The sequence below is a fragment of the Homo sapiens genome, chromosome 5, assembly GCF_000001405.40.
Source record: "Homo sapiens chromosome 5, GRCh38.p14 Primary Assembly".
Taxonomy (NCBI): Eukaryota; Metazoa; Chordata; class Mammalia; order Primates; family Hominidae; genus Homo; species Homo sapiens.
This window is the reverse complement of record NC_000005.10, coordinates 87215735-87240861: the sequence shown is the minus strand read 5'-3', so window position 1 is coordinate 87240861 and position 25127 is coordinate 87215735. Positions and strand designations below refer to the sequence as shown.

Below are 25127 nucleotides of genomic sequence, written 5' to 3'. Positions count from 1 at the left end.
TAAGTGGGTTGGAAAATGAAAGAATAAATGAATACAAATTATTATAAGATAAAATATAAAGTATTTGATAATCATACAAATGCAAAATAATAAGAAATGTTGTATGAAAGTGCTTAGAGAGTCTGCCTTATTGAATATTGTTTGTTTTTGAACTGTGTGTTGGTAGGAGGTACTCCTGACAATTTTCACTTTACAAACATTTATTTCTTGATTTAACCTACCACCAGGATGACGGCTGTCACTCACTGATTCACCAAAAATTGGACAAATTGCTTACTTATTTTTGTTGATTTTTCTTAAATGTATGTATAGCTTACATTTATATCAATATTCAACATTAGAAGTGTTTCAAGTCTTCACTTAGAAATTTGTTGATGTTTTTGTGATACAAATATGCCATAGGAACTAATTCTTGTTTATATTAATTAGCCTATAGTAAAACTGGTTTTGTTACATGGCATCTCACTTGAAGTTGAAGTTTCCAAGACCCTATCAACAACGTTGAGAACTTACTGTCATAGGTTGAAAAACTGTACACCAGGAACCGGACCAAAATAGATCTGACAGTAATATTGATATTAGAAAACAACTTTAAGTCTAATAATGATTTTTCTCTAAAGAGGTTGATTACTTCATGATAGAAGGATCATGTCACCATGATGACACAGACTGTTAGTGCACATCAATATCCATTTTGTCCTCTTCTTTTTTGGCATACAACCAAAACTTACATAGGCTTTTTATCATTTTACTGGGCCTATGTAACTGAGTTTTAGCCAGTGGAATATGTCCAAGTGACATTTGCCACTTCTAGGTCTGGCACATTAACACTTGATGTATTACATTTCAGACCCTCTTATCATTCTGCAGTGTGTTTGGCGATCTGTTGTTTAAGATCTATATGCACTGGTTACTGTTGCTTGCCTTCCATTCCTACCCTTACTAATCAGATTCCTATTATAGCTACTTCTGTCCTTGATTCATTTTGTATATTAGATGTGTGTGTGTTCATGTGCATGCATGCACCCTCACATGTAGGTGTATATGGGAGTGGTGGTAAAGACAGGATATTTCTTCAGTTCATGGGATTTTATTTCAGGAGAATTCAAACATTCACGTATTGGAGAAGATGACACATTTCTTGAATGTCTTGGGCTTTGAGCTGAATGCACTAACTAGAAGGGACTTCAGATTGTCCTCCTTCGGGGGAGGTAAGTATATTCTTCATATACAGGTAAGAGTGAAATGATAGAAGAATGTTCCTCCTCTCCTTTTCTTCCTGGACAACAGATCAAATATTTCTCAGATCTTTTACAGCTGAATTGGAGTCACATGGACAGGTATGATCTTAAAATATAAAAAATTATTTTAAAATTACATGCTAAAATTTTATAAAAATAAATGCTAAAACTAACTTAAACGGAAGCATTTGATTAAAAAATTTATCCAAAAAAGTTTGAATTTTATATGAAACAGGATAGAAGATGAAAAAGCTAAAGAAATAAAATATAAATAAATTATGGCTGGGGACAGTGGCTCACACCTGTAATCCCAGCACTTTGGGAGGCTGAGGTGGGAGGACTGATTGAGGCTAGGAGTTTGAGACCTGTTATTTGAGGCACATGGGAAGGAAAGTTTTCTTTGAGATATTCCACATTTTATAATATTCTTCAAGAGATTTACAGAGTTCCTTGAGTGAATTGTTGGTTTGTTCTTAATACTGAATTTCCTATTCAAATTTATTTAGAAGTTCATTTCTTACAGTGATCTCATCTCCTATTAAGATATTCTTCAAGGTAGGTTCTTGGCCAGTTTCTCAATGACAGATTTTTAAAAATATTGTTAATCTTTTTATTAATATGAGAACATAATTGTTCCAGATCTGGAGGCCATCCTTTAAGCTTCTTGCAACAGTCTGGGAGCAAAGAGTTTACTCGCCACTGGGTAGTGGGCCATGGACACCCCAGTCTCCACCAGAAGTTCGGGATTGCAAAATGGGACTCTGGCAGCAAATTTCAAACTGTATGCCAGACCTGGCCCTTTGCAGGTGGGCATCACTAAAAATTTAAATTACCAAAATTGACTCAAGAGTAAATCTATGTCTGAGGAGAAAGCCTTTGGAAAAATTGAATTAGTAAGCAAAAACCTACCCAAAATAAATAACAGTAAGTCTAGAAAATTTTACACAGGGATTACCAACAAACATTCAAAGCACAGAAAAATCTCTTTAGCACAAAATGCTACAAAATACAGAAAAAGAGGAAAATTCTGTAGTTTCTCTCATGAAGTTAATATATTCTAGTTAGCTGAACTAGAAAAATAAGAGAAAGAAAAATTATAGGTTAATCTTCCTTATGAGTACATGCAAGTATCATAAGATGTTGACAAATTGAATCAAGCATTTTAAAAAATGCATTATGATCAAATATGATTTATCCTAGAAATAATGTATGAGAGTTATAAAATTCCCATTAACATTAGGAACAAGCATTAATACTTATTATCTCCACCAATAATCATCATTGCTCTGGAGTTCCTAACCAATGAAATAAGAAAGAAATAACCAGTTATATGGATTAGGGAAGATCAAATATTGATTATTTGAATATTTTTTTTTATAGAAAATCCAATAATTGTACAGCTGAAGAACTGGAATAGGAGAGTTAAGCAAAGTTTCTACATACAAGAGCAAAGTGGTCAAATCAATAGGTTATCTGTAGGCCAGTGCTAATTACATTGACATGGTGGCCTTAAAATTTTTACATGCAATTCATAAATCAGTTTCACTGATATTACTTTACCAGATATTGATATTCTAATGTTGTAATTATACAACTGTATTATTGTGTCAGAAATAAAATTAATAGACCAACAAAACAAAACTCAGAACAGATTCACATATTTGATAACTTGGTGTATGACAAGTGTGACATTAAAATTCAGGAGTAAAATAAAAAAATAACAAATAATGCCGGGATAATTGGTTAGTCACATGGGAAAAAGTCAGAAAGATCTCTGCCTCACTCTATTTACATGGAATATACTTCAGATGAAAGAAACTTAAATACAAAGAGCAAAACTTTAAGACTTTTAGAAAAAGATAGGAGAATTTATGACTTCCAGTAAGGAAAGCTTTCTTAAGCTAGATGCAATGGCATAAACGACAAAATGCATTTTTTTTATAACATTAAATAAAACATGTGTTCCGTAAAAGACACCAAAATACAATTAAGAGATAAGTTACAGTGTCTTAGTCCATTCTGGCTGTATAAAAAAATACCATAGACTGAGTGGCTTAAACAACATTTATTTCTCATAGTTTCTGGAGGCTGAGCAGTCCCAGTCAAAGAGAGCCCACTTTCTAGTTTATAGACCACCATCTTCTCACTATGTCCTCACATGGCAGAAAAACAAGATGGCTCTCTGGAGTACTTTTTACAAGAGCACTAATCCTATTTATGAGGGATTCACCCTCATGATATAATCACTTTCCAATGGCCTCAGATCCAAATACTATCACTTTGGAAGGCAGGATGGGGGTGGGAGGATTGGATTTCAACATAGGAGTTTTTTGGGGACACAAACATTCAGTCCATAGCACACAGACTGGGAGAAAATATCTGTGATGCATACATCTTACAAAATAATTCATATCTAGACTATAAAGAGCTCCTCAGGTAGATAAGAAATATCAAAAGAGAACAAAAACATAAACATAGTTCACAGAAGAGGAGACTCAGATGGCCATAAATATATGGAAAAAATGCTTAACCATTTATCATGAAAATGTGAATGTGAACCAGAGTTTACCTATAACATACAACAAACTTCCAAAATGACTGAAAAACAAAACCTTATATTAGCAAGTAAAACACATACAAACACAAACACACACACTTCTACAGGAGCAGGAATTTATACAACCACTGTGGCAGTCACTATTGGTTACCCATAACATATCTATCCACATTTCTTCTTAAAGAGCAGAAGCACAATTTTATAAGTATGTGATTTCTAGGTTCTCTATGTCTATGCGTCTATTTTTATGCAATATCATGCCATGTAGTTACCATAGCTTTGTCGTATATTTTGAAGTCAGGTAGTGTGATGCTGCCAGCTTTGTTTTTGTTTGTTTGTTTGTTTTTGTTTTTGCTTAGGATTGCTTTGGCTGTTTGGATTTTAGGGTTTTTTTTCTATTTTTGTGAAGAATGTTATTGGTATTTTGATAGGAATTGGATTGAATATGTAGATTACCTTGGATGGCATGGTAATTTTAAAAATATTAATTCTTGCAATCCATAAATATAGGATGACTTTTCATTTTTTGTGTCCTCTTAATTTTTTCATCAGTGTTTTGTAGTTTTCATTTTAGAGATATTTCACCCCCTTTATTAAATTTATTCCTAGACTTTTTTGGGTAGGTATAATTATAAATGGAAATGCTACTGATTTTTGTACGCTGATTTTGTATTTTGCAGCTTTACCGAATTTGTTTATCAGCTCTAAGAGTTTTTTGGTCATCTTTAGCATTATCTATATATAAGATCATGTTATCCGCAAACAGGGACAGTTTGACTTCTTCCTTTCCAGTCTGAATGGCTTTTATTTCTTTCTCTTGCCTAAGTGATCTAATTAAGACTTCAATACTATGTTGAATAAGAGTAGTGAAAGTGGGCATCCTTGTCTTATTCCAGTTTTTAGAGGAAAAGCTTCCATCTTTTCCCCATTCAGTATGTTAGCTGTGGGTTTGTCATATATGGCTTTTATTGTGTTGAGGTGCTTTCCTTCTATGCCTAATTTGTTGAAAGTTTTTATCATTAAGTGATATTGAATATTATGAAATGCTTTTTCTGCATCTATTGAAATGATCATTTTTTTAATTCTTCATTCTGTTGATGTGATATATCACGATTATTGACTTGCATGTTTTGAACCATCCTTGCATCCTTGGGATAAATCCCACTTGAACTTGAAGCCAGGCTCAGTGGCACATGCCTGTAGATGCAATATGTGTAGTTGCAACAATCCTCCCACTCCTGACGTGGGAGGATTGCTTGAGCCCAGGAGTTTGAGACCAACTTAGGGAACATAGTAAGAGACCAACTTGGGGAACATATTAAGACCCCATCTAAAAAAATGACAATAAAAATCCAACTCGATCATGTATAATCTTTTTGATATGTTGGTAGATTCAGTTTTCTAATATATTGTTGAGATTTTTTGCATCTATGTTCATCAGGGATATTAGCCTGTAGTTTTCTTTTTTGTTGTATTTTTGTGTAGAATTATAAAAAAAGATCTACACAATATATCTTCTAATTGGAGATTGTGGTTGAAATGTGATCTTTTTATATACAATTGTTTCAAATTAGACATTGAAGTTTTTAATACACTTATTTATAACTGGCATTTAAATTATAACCTCAAACAACAGTATTTACTCAAACTATGATTTTTCGACTATTAGCCAATATGTGGCAGTTAGAATTTTGGCTGTTTCCTGAAAGAAACTTCCCCAAATATCTGTGAAAAGTATTATGAATTAAAGATATATTAATTCTACTGTTTTAAAAATATATTTTATACATAATTAAGGAAATTAAAATTTGTACAATAACAGTCCTACTTTTTGTAAAACAGAAAACTTCAGTTTAAATGCTAAAATGGAAATGATTTAGGTTGGAGATAACTCATATCTGTTGCAGGAAGTATAATTTTTAAATTTTATCTCAATAGGTTTTGGGGGAACAGGTGGTGTTTGGTTACATGAACAAGTTCTTTAGTGGTGATTTCTGAGATTTTGGTGCACCCATCACCTGAGCAGTGTACACTGTATCCAATGTGTAGTCTCCTCACTCCCCTCCCACTCTTTCCCCTGAGTCCCCAAATTCCATTGTATCATTCTTACACCTTTGCATAGAGTAAGTAAAATTTAAATAGATCTCTGATAAAAACATGTATAGTGCTAAATATTTTGAATTAAAGCTTATGATTAATAGCTATACTTAAAAGATAAAATTAGTGGTAGATGATACCCAGGTCATTTGATAGAACAATTTATTTCAAAATGAACAATTTACACCTAAATGCTGAATAAGAAATTAACACATACTGTGAGAGAGGGGTCTTTGCTTCAAAAAGCTTTGCACTCTATCTTCCTAGGAGGTGATTAAAATTAGTTCTCTAAATTTATATTATTTTCCCCATCTATTGGGCTATAACTATCTCTTTCATGTAGGACATTGATGTCTCATGACTTCACCACTACTACGGAGGGAATTGTTGCCATATAGGCATTGACTGTGAAGCTTCTAGAACACCTGTCTCCAAAATGGGGATGTATACTCCCAAGAAGGCATGCAAGTCAATTCTAAATATAGCTAGGTAGAGAGACAGAGATATTAAGCTTTACTTGTGTTTAATATATTAATTGATACTGACAAAATCAGGCTTTTTTGTCTGATGGTCCCATTTTATATACAATATGTAAGGTATGCCTAAGAAACAAATCCCACACAGGATTTACACTGGAAGATTTTACACTGGCACCACATTTATGTAAAATTATGTTACCACATATTGCAATTAAATGTACTTGGTTAAATGGATCAGATGATTATAGTACGTCCTCACTAACATTGTCAGTAGGTTCTTGGAAACTGACTTGAACCAAAACAGTGTACAGCAAAACCGATTTTACCATAGGATAAATATAAACCAAAGTTAAGTATCTATAGCATATTTCTGGTCACAAAACCCACCAAACTTCTAAATAAAGACCAAAACACTTCTAATAATAAACATTGAAATAAATGTGAGCTACACATACATTTAAAGTTAATAAAAACAAGTAAGATAATTATTTACCTGCTTATTCCAGTTCAGGGTTGCCGGTAGCTGGAGCCTTTCCTGGCAGCTCAGTGCTCAAGGCAGGAACCAGCCCTGGAGAGGACACCATCCCATCGCAGAGCACGTTCACATCCACGCTCACTCAGACCAGGACAATTTAGATGTGCCAATTAACCTAATGTGCACATCACTGGGATGTGGGAAGGAACCAGAGTACCCAGAGAAAACCCACACAGACATGGGGAGAACACGCAGGCAGACTCTACACAGATAGTGACCTCAGCCAGGAATACATTTTTTTTCTCATCAACATTGTAACAAAATGACATTGAATCATATACCAGGAGGACCTGCTGTATATCTCCTATGTTACCTGAAATACTTTGTAATTTGAGGAGGTGTTACCATGAGCATATTTTATACAATAAGGGGTTCATTCTTTACCTCAGGAAAAAGTATTTCTATTAACTTGGGTTTAGAGACTGAGGGGAAGGATTATATGTTATATCCTCATCTGTAATGCAATCCTTAGGCCCAGGATGAAGCAAAACAAGAATGTGGCAAGAAATGAGAGAGAGAGCCAATACAAAGCTGCATTAACCAGAATGCCGCTACTAGTGTCAAATGCCATGGCTCAGTCTCATGTGGCCATCTTCTTAGAGGCTTTATAAGTGACTTCATCTTCCCAGGAGAGTCCCTTGGGAGGAGAAATGGGGAAGTAATAATCTTCTGGCCTTCTTCTCTTGGCCAAAACTTGTGATTATTAATTTTATGTGTCAACCTAACTGGGATACCGGATGTCCAGATACATGGTAAAACATTATTAGAGGTGCCTGTGAAGTTATTTCTAGAAGAGATTAGCATTTAAATCAGTAGATCAAGTAAAGCAGATTGTTCTTCCCAGTGTGGATGGGCATCATGCAGTCTGTTGAGGGCCTGAATAGAACAAAAAGGTAGAGGAAGGTTGAATTTGCTCTCTGTGTGACTGCTTGAGCTGAGGCATCAATCTTTTCCCTGAGTGCTCCTGGTTCTCAGGTCTTCAGACCTACCCTGAAATTGGCACCATCAGCTTTCCAGAACTACATTTCTGGCTATAATACATGGGAAAAACAAACCCAAATGTTTTTCAGACTCTGTACTAACATACTCAATCCAACACTTCAGAGGCCAGATGTGTGAGGTTATCTCTCCACACACCAAGCAAGCACTCCTCCAGCAGACACAAGCTGGGTGTCGTGTAGTTCAATTCAATCCTAACACTGTGTACCTGGAGATAACATCAGACCCCACAGGTTGAGTGCTCAGTCCCCCAAGAGTGTCCTCCACTTCAGATGCCAACTGCAAGCCCCAGGTTGTGGCCTGTGCTTCCGACAGAGCAGCCATAAATCAGGGTTCCCATGACTCTCCTTCTCAGTTTCTGTTAACTTACTAGAGGTTCTCACATAACTCAGGGAGACACTTACATTTACCCACTTATTATGAAGGACATTATAAAAAATACAGATGAACAACCAGATGGAAAAGTGTATAGATTAAAGTATGGAAGAAGGGACATGGAGCTTTCATGCTCTCACTGGCACATTACTTTCCAGAAACTTTCACATGTTCAGCTACCCAGAAGCTGTTCCAAACTCTGCCTTTTTGAGTTTTTATGGTGGCTTCATTGCATAGGCATGATTGATTATATCATTGGCCATTGTTGATGGCCAACTCAATCTTCAGCCCCTCTCCCTTCTCCATAGGTTAGGGCTGAAAGTCTCAATCCTCTAATTATGTCTTGGTCTTTCTGGCAACCAGCTCCCATCCTGAAGCTATCTAGGGTTCCACACCTACTGGTTATCTCATTAACATACAAAAGATAATCCATCATTTCTGAAATTCTAAGGGTTTTAGTATCTGTATGCCAGGAAACAGGGAAGAAGACCAGATATATATTTCACAATACCACAATGGCTTTCCTGGGTCTCCAGGTAAATGGCAGAACATAGGACATCTTAGCATAATCTCATGAGCTAATTTCTTACTAATTTCTTATAATACATCTCTCTTTATGTGTACACACATGCACACACACACCCCTATTATAGGTTGGTGCAAAAGTAATTGTGGTTTTACCACTAAAAGTAATGGCAAAAACCGCAATTACTTTTACACCAACCTAATAGTCCTGTTTCTCTGGAAAACCCTAACTAATACAAAGTTTCACCCCATGGAGCTTTGATTCTCCCACATTTTGGACTTGTACATATGTGAATGCCAAGGAATCATGTGGTGGCATCTTATGCCTTAGCATTAAAAGAGAATCCCAGGATGGGAGGAGAGGTGCTAGCAGTTTGTACCTTGTGAAGTCACACAAGTCACACATACCTGTATGTTGCTGCAATGGCTGTTGGAATAAGTACACAGAGTCCCCAAAGACTAGTGAGGCCAAGATGTGTGAGTCATTTTCCATCACACACAAAAAACCCAATTGTTCTAAGTATGTATTTTACCAAGCAGCTTTATAGAAAGAAAAACAAACAAACAAACCAAACAACAACAACAACAAAAAACCTTGGCCAGGCACAGTGGCTTACACCTGTAATCCCAGCATTTTGGGAGATTCAGGCGGGTGGATCCTTTGAGCTTGGGAGTTTGAGATCAGCCTGGGTAATGTGGCGAAACCTCATCTCTACCAAAAATATAAAAACTAGCCAGGTGTGGTGGTGCACGCCTGTAGTCCCAGCTGCTTAGGAAACTGAGGTGGGAAGATTGCCTGAGCCCAAGAGGTAGAGGTTTCAGTGAGCCGTGGGAAGATTGCCTGAGCCCAAGAGGTAGAGGTTTCAGTGAGCCGTGGGAAGATTGCCTGAGCCCAAGAGGTAGAGGTTTCAGTGAGCCAAGATTGTATCACTGCACAACTGTTGCCTGGGCAACAGAGCCAGATCCTGTCTCAAACAACAAAAACAGTCCTTATATTTAATCTCTCACAGATAAAAAAAATAGTATTTTAGCAATTATTAAAAAGTATCTTGTTTTTGAAAGAAATTTGTGCTATGAAAAGGGCATTTTGAATATAAACTGAAAAATTTTCCATTTTTAAGTGATACAGCTAAAAATTATTACAGCTTCTTTAAAATCCCCTTATCAGCATGCCTAACAAGATTTTTCTAATTTATTCTAAATCTTTCACATAAAGAATTCAGTGAGTTTTAAATTCATTTATTACATAAGAATATTATAACTTTTTATTAGTTTATAGAAAAGTTTAGTGACATCAGGATAAATTGATATTTATTATATGAAAGTTATGAAAACTTTTGTATAGTTGCTAAGTAGGATTAAAAAATGAGTATCAGAATTTGGTAAACACAGCCAGAGATACATTTCATTTGCACACAAATGTTTTTGTGAGGTTTCTTTTTCAGTTAGGAAAATCATTAAAATCATGTACTGATGTAAACTAAACTTAGTACCGGACTTTCAAATCACTTGATTCCAAAGTTTAAATCAAGGTTTTTAAAAATAAAGTATTTTCAATTATAAAATGATTAATAATTTTCTAGTGAGAGTAAAGATGTTTGAAATATTAGGCTTAGTTTATTTGATGTATATATTTAATCCTATAAAATTTCTTTTGTAATAACTATCTGCAGAGTAGCATATTTGTGATTTATAAATATTATATGCTCAGAATCCTTGATTGATAAGAGCATATGATTAAAAAATGAAAACACATTGTAGAGTTATTCATAGTCACATATGTATGTAACTGAATATATATGATATATATAATATAAATAAATATATTTAAAATACATATTTATATATAAATATGTATTATATATAAATATATATCATATATTATATATAAATATAAACAAATATATATATATAAAGAGCCATGATACATTGTCTTTAGGACAATATCCTTCCAATCTTAGCTGATCAAGTACTCTGTGTTTTCCTATCCGGTTTTACTACCCATGACTTCTTGGCGGTAATTCCTATCTACCTTCCTAATCATTTCTCTTCATTCACTTAATACTTCAACTACTGACTCACTGCCTTCCTGTACATCTTCATTCCTGTCATTGTTCTTAGTGATTCCAAGAACCATGTAGAAGAAACACTCTGAACTTTAGCTTCTCTATTCCTTGACCTCTCCTCTTTCAATGTTTTCCTCTATCCCACCTTTGCCACCTATCACAAGACCACTGGAACTTATCACCACTAATGAAACCACCTGGTAATTCTTTATTTGAAGCATCCTACTTTATGACCATCACCTCCTGTTCTTCTAATTCATTTACCTGAGTCTTCCATTGCTGCAGTTCTTTAGCCCTATTGTAATCTGCAAACTACTGTTTTCCTTGTTTGAACTTCAGTAGCTTAACATTGGTAGAAAATACTAGGGTGACTGATAACACTTGAAATTCATCACAAAAACTTCAACTAGCCATTCAATACTGCCTACCATTCTTGTATGTTTTTCTAGCAGATTTGCTTTTGACTTTCTCAGATGACAGTTGAAAACCTGCACTTCACCCTTCACACACCTTCCCTGCTTAACTGAGAAAACAGAAGGTATCCGCTGGGCACAGTGACTCAAGCCTGTGATCCCAGCATTTTGGGAGGCTAAAGTGGGAAGATTGCTTGAGCCTAGGAGTTCCAGACCTGCCTGGTCAACATAGCATGATCATGTCCCTATTTAAAAAAAAAAAAATTAGCCAGGCATGGTGAAGCATGCCTATAGTCCCAGCTACTCTGGAGGCTGAGGCAGGAGGATTGCCTGAACCTAGGAGTCCAAATGACTGGGTTTGTGAAGGCTACAGTGAGCCATGACTGTACCACTGTACTTCAACCTGTGCAGCAAAGTGATACCTTGTCTCAAAAAAAAAAAAAAAAAAAAAAAAAAAAAAAAAAAAAAAGAAGAAGCAGAAGAAAAAAAAGAAAGAAAAGGGAAAAGAAAATAGAAAACATTGAAGGTAAACTCCCTCATCTTCCCACACGAAATCTAACCAAACAGAAACTTTGTCCTTTTTGTTACAGTGAAGGAAATATCTCTGCCATTATCAAATGCAAATCTTCCTATTTTTCTCTGGATTTAATCCCCTCTTGCTTGTCATGGACTAGGAGTATTTGCTCCTCTGCTCCTCTATCTAGCAGCATCACTCTCACCCTTTCTGTTAGATCATACCTATTAACGTATCTGACATGCCCCATGTTAAAAAAAAAAAAAAGTAAACACACTTCTGTTGATTCCATCTTATTTTCTGGATACTGCCCTATTACTTTTAATTCTTCTATTTAACATCTTAAACATGTTATCAATGTTCACTATCACCACTTTCTTTCTTCCAATTAATTATTCACCCCATTCTAATGTAGCTTCTGTTTCCACCTCTGCAGTGAGGTGGACCTTTGTCAAGGTCTCCCACAGTCTCTGCATTGCCAAACCCAACTCCTCTCTTCCTACCTCATTTGATGCCTTGGCAGCATTAGACCCAGCAAAACACTCTCCTTAAAGCCTTTCTTCCCTTGGCTCTGTGACATCATCGTCCTGGTTTTCCTCTTACCTCACTGTTACTCCTTCTCTCTTTGCCAAGCCTCAGAGCTAGTCTCTTTTCAATTCTATCAGAGCTTTCTCCCTAAGTGATCTTATTTAGTCTCATGGATTTAAGTAACTTGTACTGTATACACTCATGGTTTTCAAAATTAATTTCTAGCCCAATGACCCAAACTGAGCTTTTGACTTTCTTCACAAACCTAGTTATTTGCAACTCTCTCTCATCTCAGTATATGGCACCCTTATTCATCCATTTTCTAAAATAACACTCAGGTATCAGCTTTAATTTTTCTCTTTCTGCAATTCCCTACATCCAATTCATCATCCAGTTCATTTTTTTCTACCACCAAAAAATATCTCAGGTTTTACCACTTCCCTCTATCTACATACCACCATTCAAAATTAATTCACTACAATCTCTTTCTGTACTATGTGAAATAGATTTCTTTGCTTCTTCTCTTGCCCTTCTCCAAAAAAAATTTGTCTTCACATAGCAATCAGTAATCACTTAGAAACATGAATCAGGAATCATTTTTTTCTTAGATTAATTCAGTGGTTTCTCATTGTCCTTAGAATATGTCCATTCTTCTTACAATGGCCTGTCTGGATGATGTGGCTCCTGTATACCTATACAATGTTACCTTCTACCCTTTATATTCTCCCTTAATTATTTTATGGCAATCCAATTGGCCTCTCTTCTGTTTTTCAAATTCCCAAGGTGCTTTCTGATGCCAAGGCATTTGCACTTCCTGTTCTCTTTGTCTGCAAAGCTCTTAAGTATTTTTGCATAGCTAGCTCATTTTCATCCTTCAGGTCTCAGCCTAAATACTATCTCCTCAGAGTTCTTAATTGACTGCTCAAGACCCACTTGCACTGAATATAATTATTCTTTATTTCGTCTTCCTTCTTTCATCTTCATTCATACCACTTCTCATGATCTGTATTTGGCTTTTCTATTATTTCTTGTTTGTGACATGCCAAAAATGTAAGTTCTATGCAGGTAGAGATTGTATCATGTTCATTATCCTAACCTTGGGATCTAGTACAATGTCTGGCACAAGATAAATTTTGAATATTTATGAACAAACAAAAGAAGGCTTCTTTTTCCTTGTCTTACTTTATGCTCTCACTATTCACATTTTTTCAGTTTACCCTCTGGTAACCATCTGTATTAGGCAGTCAGGATGCAAAAACAAAATACCACAGGCTGGGTGGCTTAAACAACATAAATTAATTTTCTCTCAGTCTGGAAGCTGGAAATTCCAAGATCAAGGTTCTGGCCATTTTGGTGTCTGGGGAGGTCTCCCTTCCTGGCTACATTCTCCATATACCTCACGGCCTTTTTTCTTGGTGTGTGCACCTTGCAGTGAGGGAAGGGGAAGGGGGGTTTCTGGTGTCTCTTCTTATGAAGACACTAATCTTAGAAGATTACGACTCCATACTCCTTACCTCATCTAACTTTAATTACTTCTTAGAGGCCCCACCTCCAGATACAGCAATATTGGGAATTAAGGCCTCAGCATATGAATTTTGGGGGGACACATCATCATCTTTTCATTACTGATTTCACTCACACAGACAAAGTGTGCATGGAGGAGCCTCTGTCTACTGAACTCTTAGATAGTTCTTATTTAAGCACATTCACGGTTTTTTGTTATTTTTATATAGACATATGCCTTGGTTTGCATTTTAGTATACATTTCCTTTCCCTACTCCACACAGAGCTCTTTAAGTAGTGATTCCATATATGTTTACTGATTGACTAAATCTACATCCACATTTCCATTTACAAACGTTCACCCAACATCCAATTCTTTATCACCAACTGCTGATTATGTTTACACTTGGATTATCCATTTTTGTCTCAAATTTGTTGTGTCCCAAACTTATTTGCCCAACCACCAGCAAGCTTTCTCTTTGTCACTGCATTACATTCTCCTGACAATAGAGGCCTAAAACTTTGGCATAATCTATGACTCATTCATTAGTTTTCATCTGCTTTATCTAATTAATCACTAACCCAGTTATTATTTCCTTTAAAATCTTGCATAAAATGTTTCTTCCTCTAGAATATTTCTGTCATTTTAAAAATAAACTTTTTTATTTAAGGGATTTATATTTACCGAAAATTGCAAAGAGAATAGAGAAATCTCTTTTATCCTTCATGCAGTTTTTCCTGTTATTAGCATCTTAACATTAGTATGGTATATCTGGCAGAACTAATCAAACAACACTGATGCATTATTATTAACTAAAGTTCATACTTCATTCATACCTCCTTGGTTTTTACCTAATTTCTTTTCTATTTCATAATCTTACCCAGGATATTACATTGCATTTAGTTGTAATGTCTTCTTAAGCTTCTTTTGGCTGTGATAGTTTCCCAGATTTTCTTTGTTATAGATGACCTTTAGAGTTTTAAGGAGTACTGGTTAGGTATTTTTTAGAATGTCTTTCAGTGGGTTTGTATGTAGTTTTTCTTATGACTATACTGGGGTTATAAGTTTTGGGGAGAAAGACTACAGAGATAAAGTGCCATTCTCATCATGTATCAGGAGTGCATGCTGTCAACATGATTATTGTTGCTAATGTTAACCTTGATTACCTGGCTGAGGTGGTGTTTGTTAGATTTCTCCATCGTAAAGTTATTCTCTTTCTCCCTTTCTGTACTGTATTCTTTGGAAGGAAGCTATTATATGCAGCCCACACTTAAGAAGTGGGTAGTTATGCTCCCCTCTTTGAGAACAGAGTTTCTTTAGGAATTACTTGAATTTTTACATAGAAATTGGTCTATTCTTGCCTATTTATTCAATTATTTATTTTTATCAGTGTGAACTCAGGGATATTTATATTATACTTTGAGTTATAATACAATGCTGTTATTTACTTCATTCCTCAAATTGTTCCAGCTCTAGCCATTGGAAGCTCTTTCACTCAGCTCCTATGTTCCTTTGACATACCTCATTTTTTTTTCTTTTAAACATTTCCTTACATCCTGGCACTATAAGATGCTCTAGGGTCATCTTGTATATTTCCTGTCTGTATTGGTTTCCTATTGTTATTGTAACAAGTTACCATAAACTTAGTAGATTAAAACAACACAAATTCATTATCTTGTTATTCTGATGGTAAGAATTCCAAAATGGGTCTCACTGGGCTAAAATTGAGGTATACAAAGGGCTGCATTCTTTCTGGAGGCTGAAAGGGAAATTTTGTTTTTTTACCTTTTCCATCTTCTAGAGCCTTCTAACATCCTTGGATCATGGTCCCATTCCTCCATTTTCCTTTCTTTCTCCTTTCCTTTCATATATATATATATATTTTTTTTCCAGAGTCTTGCTCTGTCACCCAGGCTGGAGTGCAGTGGTGCAATCTCGGCTCACTGCAGCCGTGACTTCCTGGGCTCAAACTATCCTCCCCACTCAGCCTCCCGAGTAGCCGGGAATACAGGTGCATGCCACCATGCCTAGCTAGTTTTTTGTTTTGTTTTGTTTTTTTGATTTCACCATGTTGTCTAGATTGATCTTGAACTCCTGGGCTCAAGCAATCCTCCCACTTTGGCTTCCCAAAGTGCTGGGATTACAGGTGTGAGCCACCAACATGGCCTCCATTCTTCCATTTTCAAAGCCAGCAATATCAAGTTGATTCTTTCTCATGCTGCCATCTCTCTGGTTATCCTTTTCTGCCTCCCTCTTCTACACTTAAGGACTCTTGTGATTATATTGACCCACCTAAAAAAAATCCACAATAATTTCCCTCTATTAGAACTAGCCGATTAGCAACTTACAATCTGTCTGCTAGAGCTGGGTATGTTGGCTCACATCTGTAATCCTAACACTTTGGGAGGCCAAGGCAGGAGGATTATATGAAGCCAGGAATTTGAGACAAGCCTGAGCATCAAAGTGAGACCCTTTCTCTAAATAAATAAATAATAATAATAATCTATCTGCTATCTTAATTCCTCTTTGCCATTTAACATGACATATTCAGAGTTTCTGGGGATTAGAATGTGGACCTCTTGATGAGAAAGGACATTATTCTACCATATTGCCACAGTTTTGACTCAATTATTTCTCCAAGGATTGCTGTTTCCTTTTATTGGAGAATTGTCTCTGCAATCAAGATTTGGGCACTGGGTGTGCCCATTGGTATTGGGGTATAGTTTCTTTTAGGCCCTCTCAAATGAAAAAGAAAATATATATATGTACACTATTCCATGGATACATATAGAAATCCCTATTTCTACATGTATCCATTTGTATTTATATTAAGCTAAATATGAGTTATTGATATCTTCACCTCTAATATAGCGTCTGTCATTAAAAAAAAATGTAGGGTGGGTGAAGTGGCTCATGCCTGTAATCCCAGGACTTTGGGAGACTGAGGCAGGTGGATCATGTGAGGTCAGGAGTTCGACACCAGCCTGGCCAACATGGTGAAACCCTGTCTCTACTAAAAATACAAAAAATTAACCAGGCGTGGTGGCATGCGCCTGTAATCCCAGCTACTCGGGAGGCTGAGAGAGGAGAATCACGTGAGCCTGGGTGGCAGAGGTTGCAGTGAGCTGAGATCATGCCACTGCACTCCAGCCTCAGTGACAAGCAAGACTCCGTCTAAAAAAAAAAAAAAAATCTAGCCCTAGGCACTGTAAGCATAAGTTACCCTAAAGCATCCTGACTAAGTGGTCACTTTAGTTCATTCCTTTATTTATTGTACATAGTACCACAAGACCAGTTTTTCTTACAGACTGCTTTTTTATCAGGTAACCATGTTTAAAAACACCCAACAGGATTCTATTCAATAACAATTTGTCCATAGTTTAGGCAAAAATCTTTGCCTTATAAAGCTTTCTATAATCAGTGTCCATACTAACCATCCAACTTTACTTTCCAGAATTTCCTAGGATAGCCACTGACTTCTCATAACTCCTCATGGCTTCGCGTGTTAATCAGGTTAGCTTCATGGTCCTTCAAAAATGCACCATTTTAGGTTTTACATGGTATCTTTGCTTTTGTAAATATTTCTTCACTAAAACTTCATTTGTGTTCAATTCCACTTACCATTGAAAATCCACTTTTTCCAACTATCATTAATGTATTCCAGCTGACATTAATTTTTCTCTCTTTTAGATCCTATAGTACTTGAATAAAGAATAAAGAACCTATATCTTATACTGTAAAATTTAATAATCATTGTAAGGAGTGTTCAGTGTTCAGTATACATCACTGAAGAAGTTAACGTATTTAACTATTTCTTAACTTTCCCAGCTTTGTAGGTCTTCCAAACAGAAGCCTGACTATCTTGTCCCTCTTTTTTTTTTTTTTTTGCCTACATTATAAAGGTAAGAAATTTATCTTTCCTTTAAAATATCTTCAATTTTTTTTTAAACTGCTCGAGACCAGTTGTTTTCCAATGTTAGAGTACAAAAGATTCACCCGGGAAATTGATAAGAAGGCACATTCCTTGATCTTATATTCAGAGATTTTGATTTGATGCATATTTTTAGTTTCTTATTGCTGTTTTAATGAATTACCAGAAACTTAGTGGCTTAAATAACACAAATTTATTACCTTACATTTCTGTAGTTAGAAGTTCGAACGGGTCTCATTGGGTTAAAATCACGGTGTCAGGAATGCTGTGTTCCTTTCTGAAGGCTCTAGAGGAGAACCGCTTTTCTTGCTTCCAGAGGGCACCCACATTCTTTGGCTCATGGGTCTCGTTCTCCTTGAAAGCCACCACATGGCATCTCTGTGCCTTTCTTCTGTAGCCACACTTTCCTCTGACTGTTTCTCCTCTTCTGCCTCCTATTCTACTTTAAGGACCCTTCTGATTACATTGGATCCATCTGGATAACCTAGGTGAATCTCCTTAATTTATTTAGTTATTTTTTGTAGAAGGGTCTCACAATGTTGCCCATGCTGGTCTCTAACTCCTAGGCTCCAGTGATCTTCCTGCCTCCGCATCCCAAAGGGTTGGGATTGCAGGTGTGAGCCACTGTGCCCAGCTTTAATCTCCCTATTTTAAGGCCAGCCGATTAGCAATCTTTATTCCATCCACAACTTTAATTCTCCTTTGCCAGGTAACACAACATAGGCTGTGGTTTTGGGGATTAGGATGTGGACATATTTGAGGGTCATTATTCTATTACAGTAGCACTGGGGTGGTGGAGCCCAGGAAATTACCCTTTTAACAGTCATTCCAGCTGATTCTAATGAAAACAATCATGACAACACAATTTGAGAAACACTCCTTTGGTTATTTACGCATAACAGCTATATTTATTCAACTTTGGAATTCAAACAAACACAGAGGTGGTTTAAGACTTTTTAAACAGAAGATTTAGTACAAAGAGAAAAGTAAAATCAGACTCTGATAAACACGGTTATCTACAAAGACCTGTTTACACAGAAAGAAGAGACACTGGCCGATTTCTTGATCTTTCCCTGTTTTATTCTGAAAACAGCCTGAAAACCAAATATTAGGAATAACACCTATAATATAACTTAAGTTATGACATTAAATTTTACTTGGTTTTAAAAGTATACTTGGCTAAAAGTTCTTTATTGCTTGGTCCATTTTATACAGACACACACACACACACACACACACTATATATATATAAAACATTCAAACAACATCCTAATCCTAAAGCACTCTTTTCTTTCTTTTTCCAGTTTTTTTTTTTTTTTTTGAGATGGAGTCTTGCCCTGTCCCAGGCTGTAGTGCAGTGGCTTGATCTCGGCTCACTGCAACCTCTGCCTCCCGGGTTCAAGCTATTCTCCTGCCTCAGCCTCCTGAGTGGCTGGGATTACAGGTACCTGCTACCATACCCAGCTAATTTTTGTATTTTTAGTAGAGATGGGGTTTCACCATGTTGGCCAGGCTGGTCTCAAACTCCTGACCTCATGATCCACCCGCCTCAGCCTTCCAAAGTTCTGGGATTACAGGCGTGAGCCACCCCGCCCGGCCTAAAGCACTCTTTTCTATCTCTCCAAACCAGCAACTAAGCTGAACTATGCTAGGAATAGTCTATATTTCCTTTACTTTTCTTATTGAAAAGATTCAGTTTGCTGAGATTTATATTATATATAAGAATAAATTCAGCTATTTTATTAAGTACTTAAGTCTAGCTTAAAAGTATTTTGAAACATCATCTACTTTTGCATAGCCTTTTTATTGGTTTATTGCTCATAAATCATATTTTCTCAAAGCTCAAGAAAAATTACTTCAAAAAATCTGGATTCTGGGCATGGTGGCTCATGCCTGTAATCCCAGCACTTTGGGAGGCCGAGGCTGGTGGATCACTTGAGGTCAGGAGTTTGAGACCAGCTTGGCCAACATGGTGAAACTCCGTCTCTTCTAAAAATACAACAATTAGGCCAGGCGCGGTGGCTCACACCTATAATCCCAGCACTTTGGGAGGCCGAGTTCGGTGGATCATGACGTCAGGAGTTTGAGACCAGCCTGGCCAAGATGGGGAAACCCCATCTCTACTAAAAATACAAAAATTATCCAGGCGCGATGGCGGGCACCTGTAACCCCACCTACAGGGAGACTGAGGCAGGAGAATCGCTTGAACCTGGGAGGCGGAGGTTGCAGTGAGCCGAGATCACGCCACTGCATTCTAGCCTGAACGACAGAGCAAGACTCTGTCTCAAAAAAACAAAAACAAAAAACACAAATTTAAATTTAGCCAGGCATTGTGGTGGGCACCTGTAATCCCAGCTACTCGGGAGGCTGAGGCAGGAGAATCGCTTGAACCCGGGAGGTGAAGGTTGCAGTGAGCCGAGATTGCGCCACTGCACTCCAACCTGGGTGACAGGGCAAGACTCCGTCTCAAGAAAAAAAAAAAAAAAAAAAAATTGAAAAATGGGTTTCATCAGTTTAGTTCCTCCTGTTCTTTAAATCATAAAATATTTAAACCTAACTGTATGCTTTATTTTTTAAAAGTACTTTTTAGAGCTCAAGTTTAGCAGAGCTATTTACAGTATTATTGTGAGAGAATAGAGAAGAAAGAACTTTAGAGAATGATTAAAATTTTAATCAGTGAACAAATGAATTAAACCAATATTTAGTCAAATCCAACTAACCTGAAATGTTAACTCAATTGAACTCTCATAACAATTCATAAATAAAGTATGATTATCCCTTATTTCTTAGAGAGGAAACAGGCTGTGTTGAGTGATTTCGCCCAGGCTTCATAGCTGTTAAGCAGTGAAGTTAAGTAACTATTCAAACTTGAGTCTCTGACTCAAAGGTAAATGCTCTTCATAGTATAATCAGGCTTCTATATGCTTAACTCATTCGGCTTATTATTATTATTTTTTTTTGGTAGGGAGACACTCACTAACCCACAAGGGTAGAAGGCAGGCATGAGGTGGGGAAAGGTTGACCAGTGTTGGCCCTGGAGGTAGAAGGCAATGTCTTCCAGGGTTGGCTTGATTACATGTTGAACCAAAGAGCTGATTTCTGCAATTTAGTAATCAGTCAAGGGTTAGTATTAGAGTGTGTCTTTGTTTTGTGTTACTGTAACATAATACTGGAAACAATAATTTACAAAGAATAGAGATTTAATTCTCACTATTCTGGAGGCTACGAAGTTCATGATTAAGGCACTGGTATCTAGTGAGGGTCTTCTTTCTGTATCTTAACATCGTAGAAGGCTTAGGGCACAAGAAGGATGAATTTCCTCCATCAAACCCCTTTATAATGGCATTCATCCATTCATAACGGTGAAACCCTTATGACATAAATACTTCCCCCAAAGCCCCACCTCCTAATACTGCTAGATTGGGGATTAAGTTTCCAACATGAATTTAGGGGGATATATTAGACCATAGCAGGGTGTCTAGTCCATAATTTCAAATAATTCAGTATCCTTCAAGTCACTGAAATGAAATGTCCTCTATATGTAGTAATTATTTTTCCATATGAAATCATTTTGGGTAATCAGATAATTCAGTTGTTGAGACATATTTTTATTCTATCTCATCATTGAAGAGCTTGCACTACTCTCAGCTGTACAACATGGAGCCAAGCAGAGGCCAGACCCTGAGAGCATAGAGTGTGAATGTTTTTCTATACCTGATCATAGCCTGGTCAGTAATCATCACCCCACCACAATGAGATCCCTGGACATGGGTCACCAATGCTAGATGCTTTGAAAGACAAAAATCAATTAATATAAGACCTAACTCCTAACAAAAGATACGGATAATCACAAGTCAGATGGCTTTGATTCCTAAATTCATCTCGGGTTGTAATTAAAAGACTTTTAAATTAGCACTAAATTATTCAAATCAAGTAATTAATCTGGTTTTTTAGACTTGAAATTCAATCAGCATTTCCTATGAAATTTAAAATTAAAAACTTTTTTTTTTGAGGTGGAGTCTTGCTCTGTCACCCAGTTGGAGTGCAGTGGCGTGATCTCGGCTCACTGCATGCTCAGCCTCCTGGGTTCACGCCATTCTCCTGCCTCAGCCTCCCAAGTAGCTGGGACTACAAGGCGCCTGCCACCACGCCCAGCTAATTTTATTTTTTGTATTTTTAATAGAGACAGGGTTTCACCGTGTTAGCCAAGATGGTCTCGATCTCCTTACTTCGTGATCCGCCTGCCTGGGCCTCCCAAAGTGCTGGGATTACAGGCATGAGCCACTGCGCCCAGCCAAAAACATTTTTAATAGAAATTTAAATATAACTACCAGTAAAATGTTGTATGACTCAGTTTACTACTCCATGTGATACCACTGAGCAGTGTTTCCAGAAATGTGTCACCACTGGCAATACCTGAGATAACATTAGGAAGCATGAGACATGATTTCATGTTCATGGATATGGCATTAATTAGCATTGAATCACATAACGACAAAGTTATTTCCTCCTAAACAACATTTAATCTTTGTGATTATCTCAAGGAGGACCTCTCAGTTTGGTGTTGTCTCTAAATTTCTCTAATTTTTCATTTTGCCAAGGTAGAGCAGACCCCTGTAAAAAGTTTTCATCAGGAAATATACTACTAGAATATATTACCATGTTTTATTATTTTTACTCTGTCGTGTTTATATTTACTGTTACTTTCCATTCATGGCAAATAATTTGGTTTTTCTATTTGCGGTAGTGATATAAAATTTTTCTTGAGGTGTCTGGAAAGATGGCTGAATAGGAACAGCTCTGCTCTGCAGCTCCCAGCGAGATCAACGCAGAAGGAGATAATTTCTGCATTTCCAACTAAAGTACCCAGCTCATCTCATTGGGACTGGTTAGACAGTGGGTGCAGCCCACAGAAGGCAAGCAGAAGCAGGGTGGGGTGTTGCCTCACCCGGGAAGCGCAAGGGGTCAGGGAACTCCCTCCCCTAGCCAAGGGAAGCTGTGAGGGACTGTGCCGTGAGGAACGGGGCATTCCGGCACAGATACTATGCTTTCCCCACGGTCTTTGCAACCCACAGACCAGGAGATTCCCTTGGGTGCCTGCACCACCAGGGCCCTGGGTTTCAAGCAAAAAACTGGGCAGCCATTTGGGCAGACACTGAGCTAGCAGCAGGAGTTTTTTTCATACCCTAGTAGCCCCTAGAATGCCAGCGAGACAGAACTGTTCACTCCCCTGGAAAGGGGCACTGAAGCCAGGGAGCCAAGTGGTCTAGCTCAGCAGATCCCACCCCCACGGAGCCCAACAAGCTAAGACCCACTGGGTTGAAATTCTCGCTGCCAGCACAGCAGTCTGATGTCCACCTGGAATGCTTGAGCTTGGTGCAGGGAGGGGCGTCTGCCATTACTGAGGCTTGATTAGGCAGTTTCCCCCTCACAGTGTAAACAAAGCTGCTGGGAAGTTTGAACTGGGTGGAGCCCACTGCAGCTCGGCAAAGTTGCTGTAGCAAGAGTGTCTCTCTAGATTCCTCCTCTCTGAGCAGGGCATCTCTGAAACAAAGGCAGCAGCCCCAGTCAGGGACTTATAGATAAAACTCCCATCTCCCTGGGACAGAGCACCTGGGGGAAGGGGCAGCTGTGGGCACAGCTTCAGGACACTTAAACGTTCCTGCCTGCTGGCTCTGAAGAGAGCAGCAGATCTCCCAGCACAGTGCTCAAGTTCTGCTAAGGGACAGACTGCCTCCTCAAGTGGGTCCCTGACCCCTGTGCCTCCGGAGTGGGAGAGACCTTCCAGCAGGGGTCAACAGACATCTGGTGGGTGCCCGTCTGAGACGAAGCTTCCAGAGGAAGGAACAGGCAGCAATCTGTGCTGTTCTGTAGCCTGCGCTGGTGATACCCAGGTAAACAGGGTCTGGAGTGGATCTCCAACAAACTCCAGCAGACCTGCAGCAGAGGGGCCTGACTGTTATAAGGAAAACTAACAAACAGAAAGGAATAGCGTCAACATCAACAAAAAGGACATCCACACAAAAACCCCATCCGAAGGTCACCAGCATCAAAGACCAAAGGTAGATAAATCCATGAAGATGAGGAAAAACCAGTGCAAAAAGGCTGAAAATTCCAAAAACCAGAACACCTTTTCTCCTGCAAAGGATCACAACTCCTTGCCAGCAAGAGAACAAAACTGGATGGAGAATGAGTTTGACGAATTTACAGAAGGAGGCTTCAGAAGGTGGGTAATAACAAACTCCTCTGAGCTAAAGGAGCATGTTCTAACCCAATGCAAGGAAGCTAAAAATGAAAAAAGGCTGGAGGAATTGCTAACTAGAATAACCACTTTAGAGAAGAACATAAATGATCTGATGGAGCTGAAAAACACAGCACGAGACCTTCGTGAAGCATACAGAAGTATCAATAGCTGAATCGATCAAGCAGAAGAAAGGATATCAGAGATTGAAGATCAACTTAATGACATAAAGTGTGACGTCAAGATTAGAGAAAAAAAGAATGAAAAGGAACGAACAAAGCCTCCAAGAAATATGGGACTATGTGAAAAGACCAAACCTATGTTTAATTGATGTACCTGAAAGTGCTGGGGAGAATAGAACCAAGTTTGAAAACACTCTTAGGATATTATCCAGGAGAACTTCCCCAACCTAGCAAGACAGGCCAATATTCAAATCAGTAAATACAGAGAACACCACAAAGATACTCCTCGAGAAGAGCAACCCCAAGACACATAATCATCAGATTCACCAAGGATGAAATGAAGAAAAAAATGTTAAGGGCAGCCAGAGAGAAAGGTCGGTTTACTCACAAAGGGAAGCCCATTAAACTAATAGCAGATTTGTCTGCTGAAACCCTACAAGCCAGAATAGAGTGGGGGGCCAATATTTAACATTCTTAAAGAAAAGAATTTTCAGCCCAGAATTTCATATCCAGCCAAACTAAGCTTCATTAGCAAAGAAGAAATAAAATCCTGAGAGACAAGCAAATGCTGAGCGATTTTGTCACCACCAGGCCTGCCTTACAAGAGCTCCAGAAGGCAGCACTAAACACATAAAGGAAAAACCAGTACCAGCCACTGCAAAAACATAACAAACTATAAAGACCACCGACACTATGAAGAAACTGCATCAACTAACAGGCAAAATAACCAACTAGCATCATAATGACAGGATCAGATTAACACATAACAATATTAACCTTAAATGCAAACGGGCTAAATGCCACAATTAAAAGACACAGACTGGCAAATTGGATAGAGTCAAAATCCATCATTGTGCTGTATTCAGGAGACCCATCTCACGTGCAAAGACACACATAGGCTCAAAATAAAGGGATGGAGGAATATTTACCAAGCAAATGG

At 37.6% G+C, this 25127-nt stretch overlaps 2 long non-coding RNA genes across 2 annotated transcripts in view, besides 1 other annotated feature; one reads left to right on the top strand and one right to left on the bottom strand.

The window, feature by feature from the left end:
* The window catches only part of LOC101929380 (uncharacterized), a 127874-nt gene that overhangs the window by 7160 nt on the left and 95587 nt on the right, over nt 1–25127 (bottom strand). The window lies entirely within an intron of this gene.
* On the top strand, nt 1661–25127 carry LINC01949 (long intergenic non-protein coding RNA 1949). Its single transcript, NR_130914.1, has 3 exons — nt 1661–1796; nt 1881–2047; nt 22533–25127. It is a non-coding gene; the product is annotated as a long intergenic non-protein coding RNA 1949 (long non-coding RNA).
* Nucleotides 9414–9783: an enhancer, noted in NCBI's record as "active region_22751". NCBI's record gives its function as "activates an Ori minimal core promoter by ATAC-STARR-seq in GM12878 lymphoblastoid cells {active_cell/tissue: GM12878}" and the evidence as "EXISTENCE:reporter gene assay evidence [ECO:0000049][PMID:35858748]".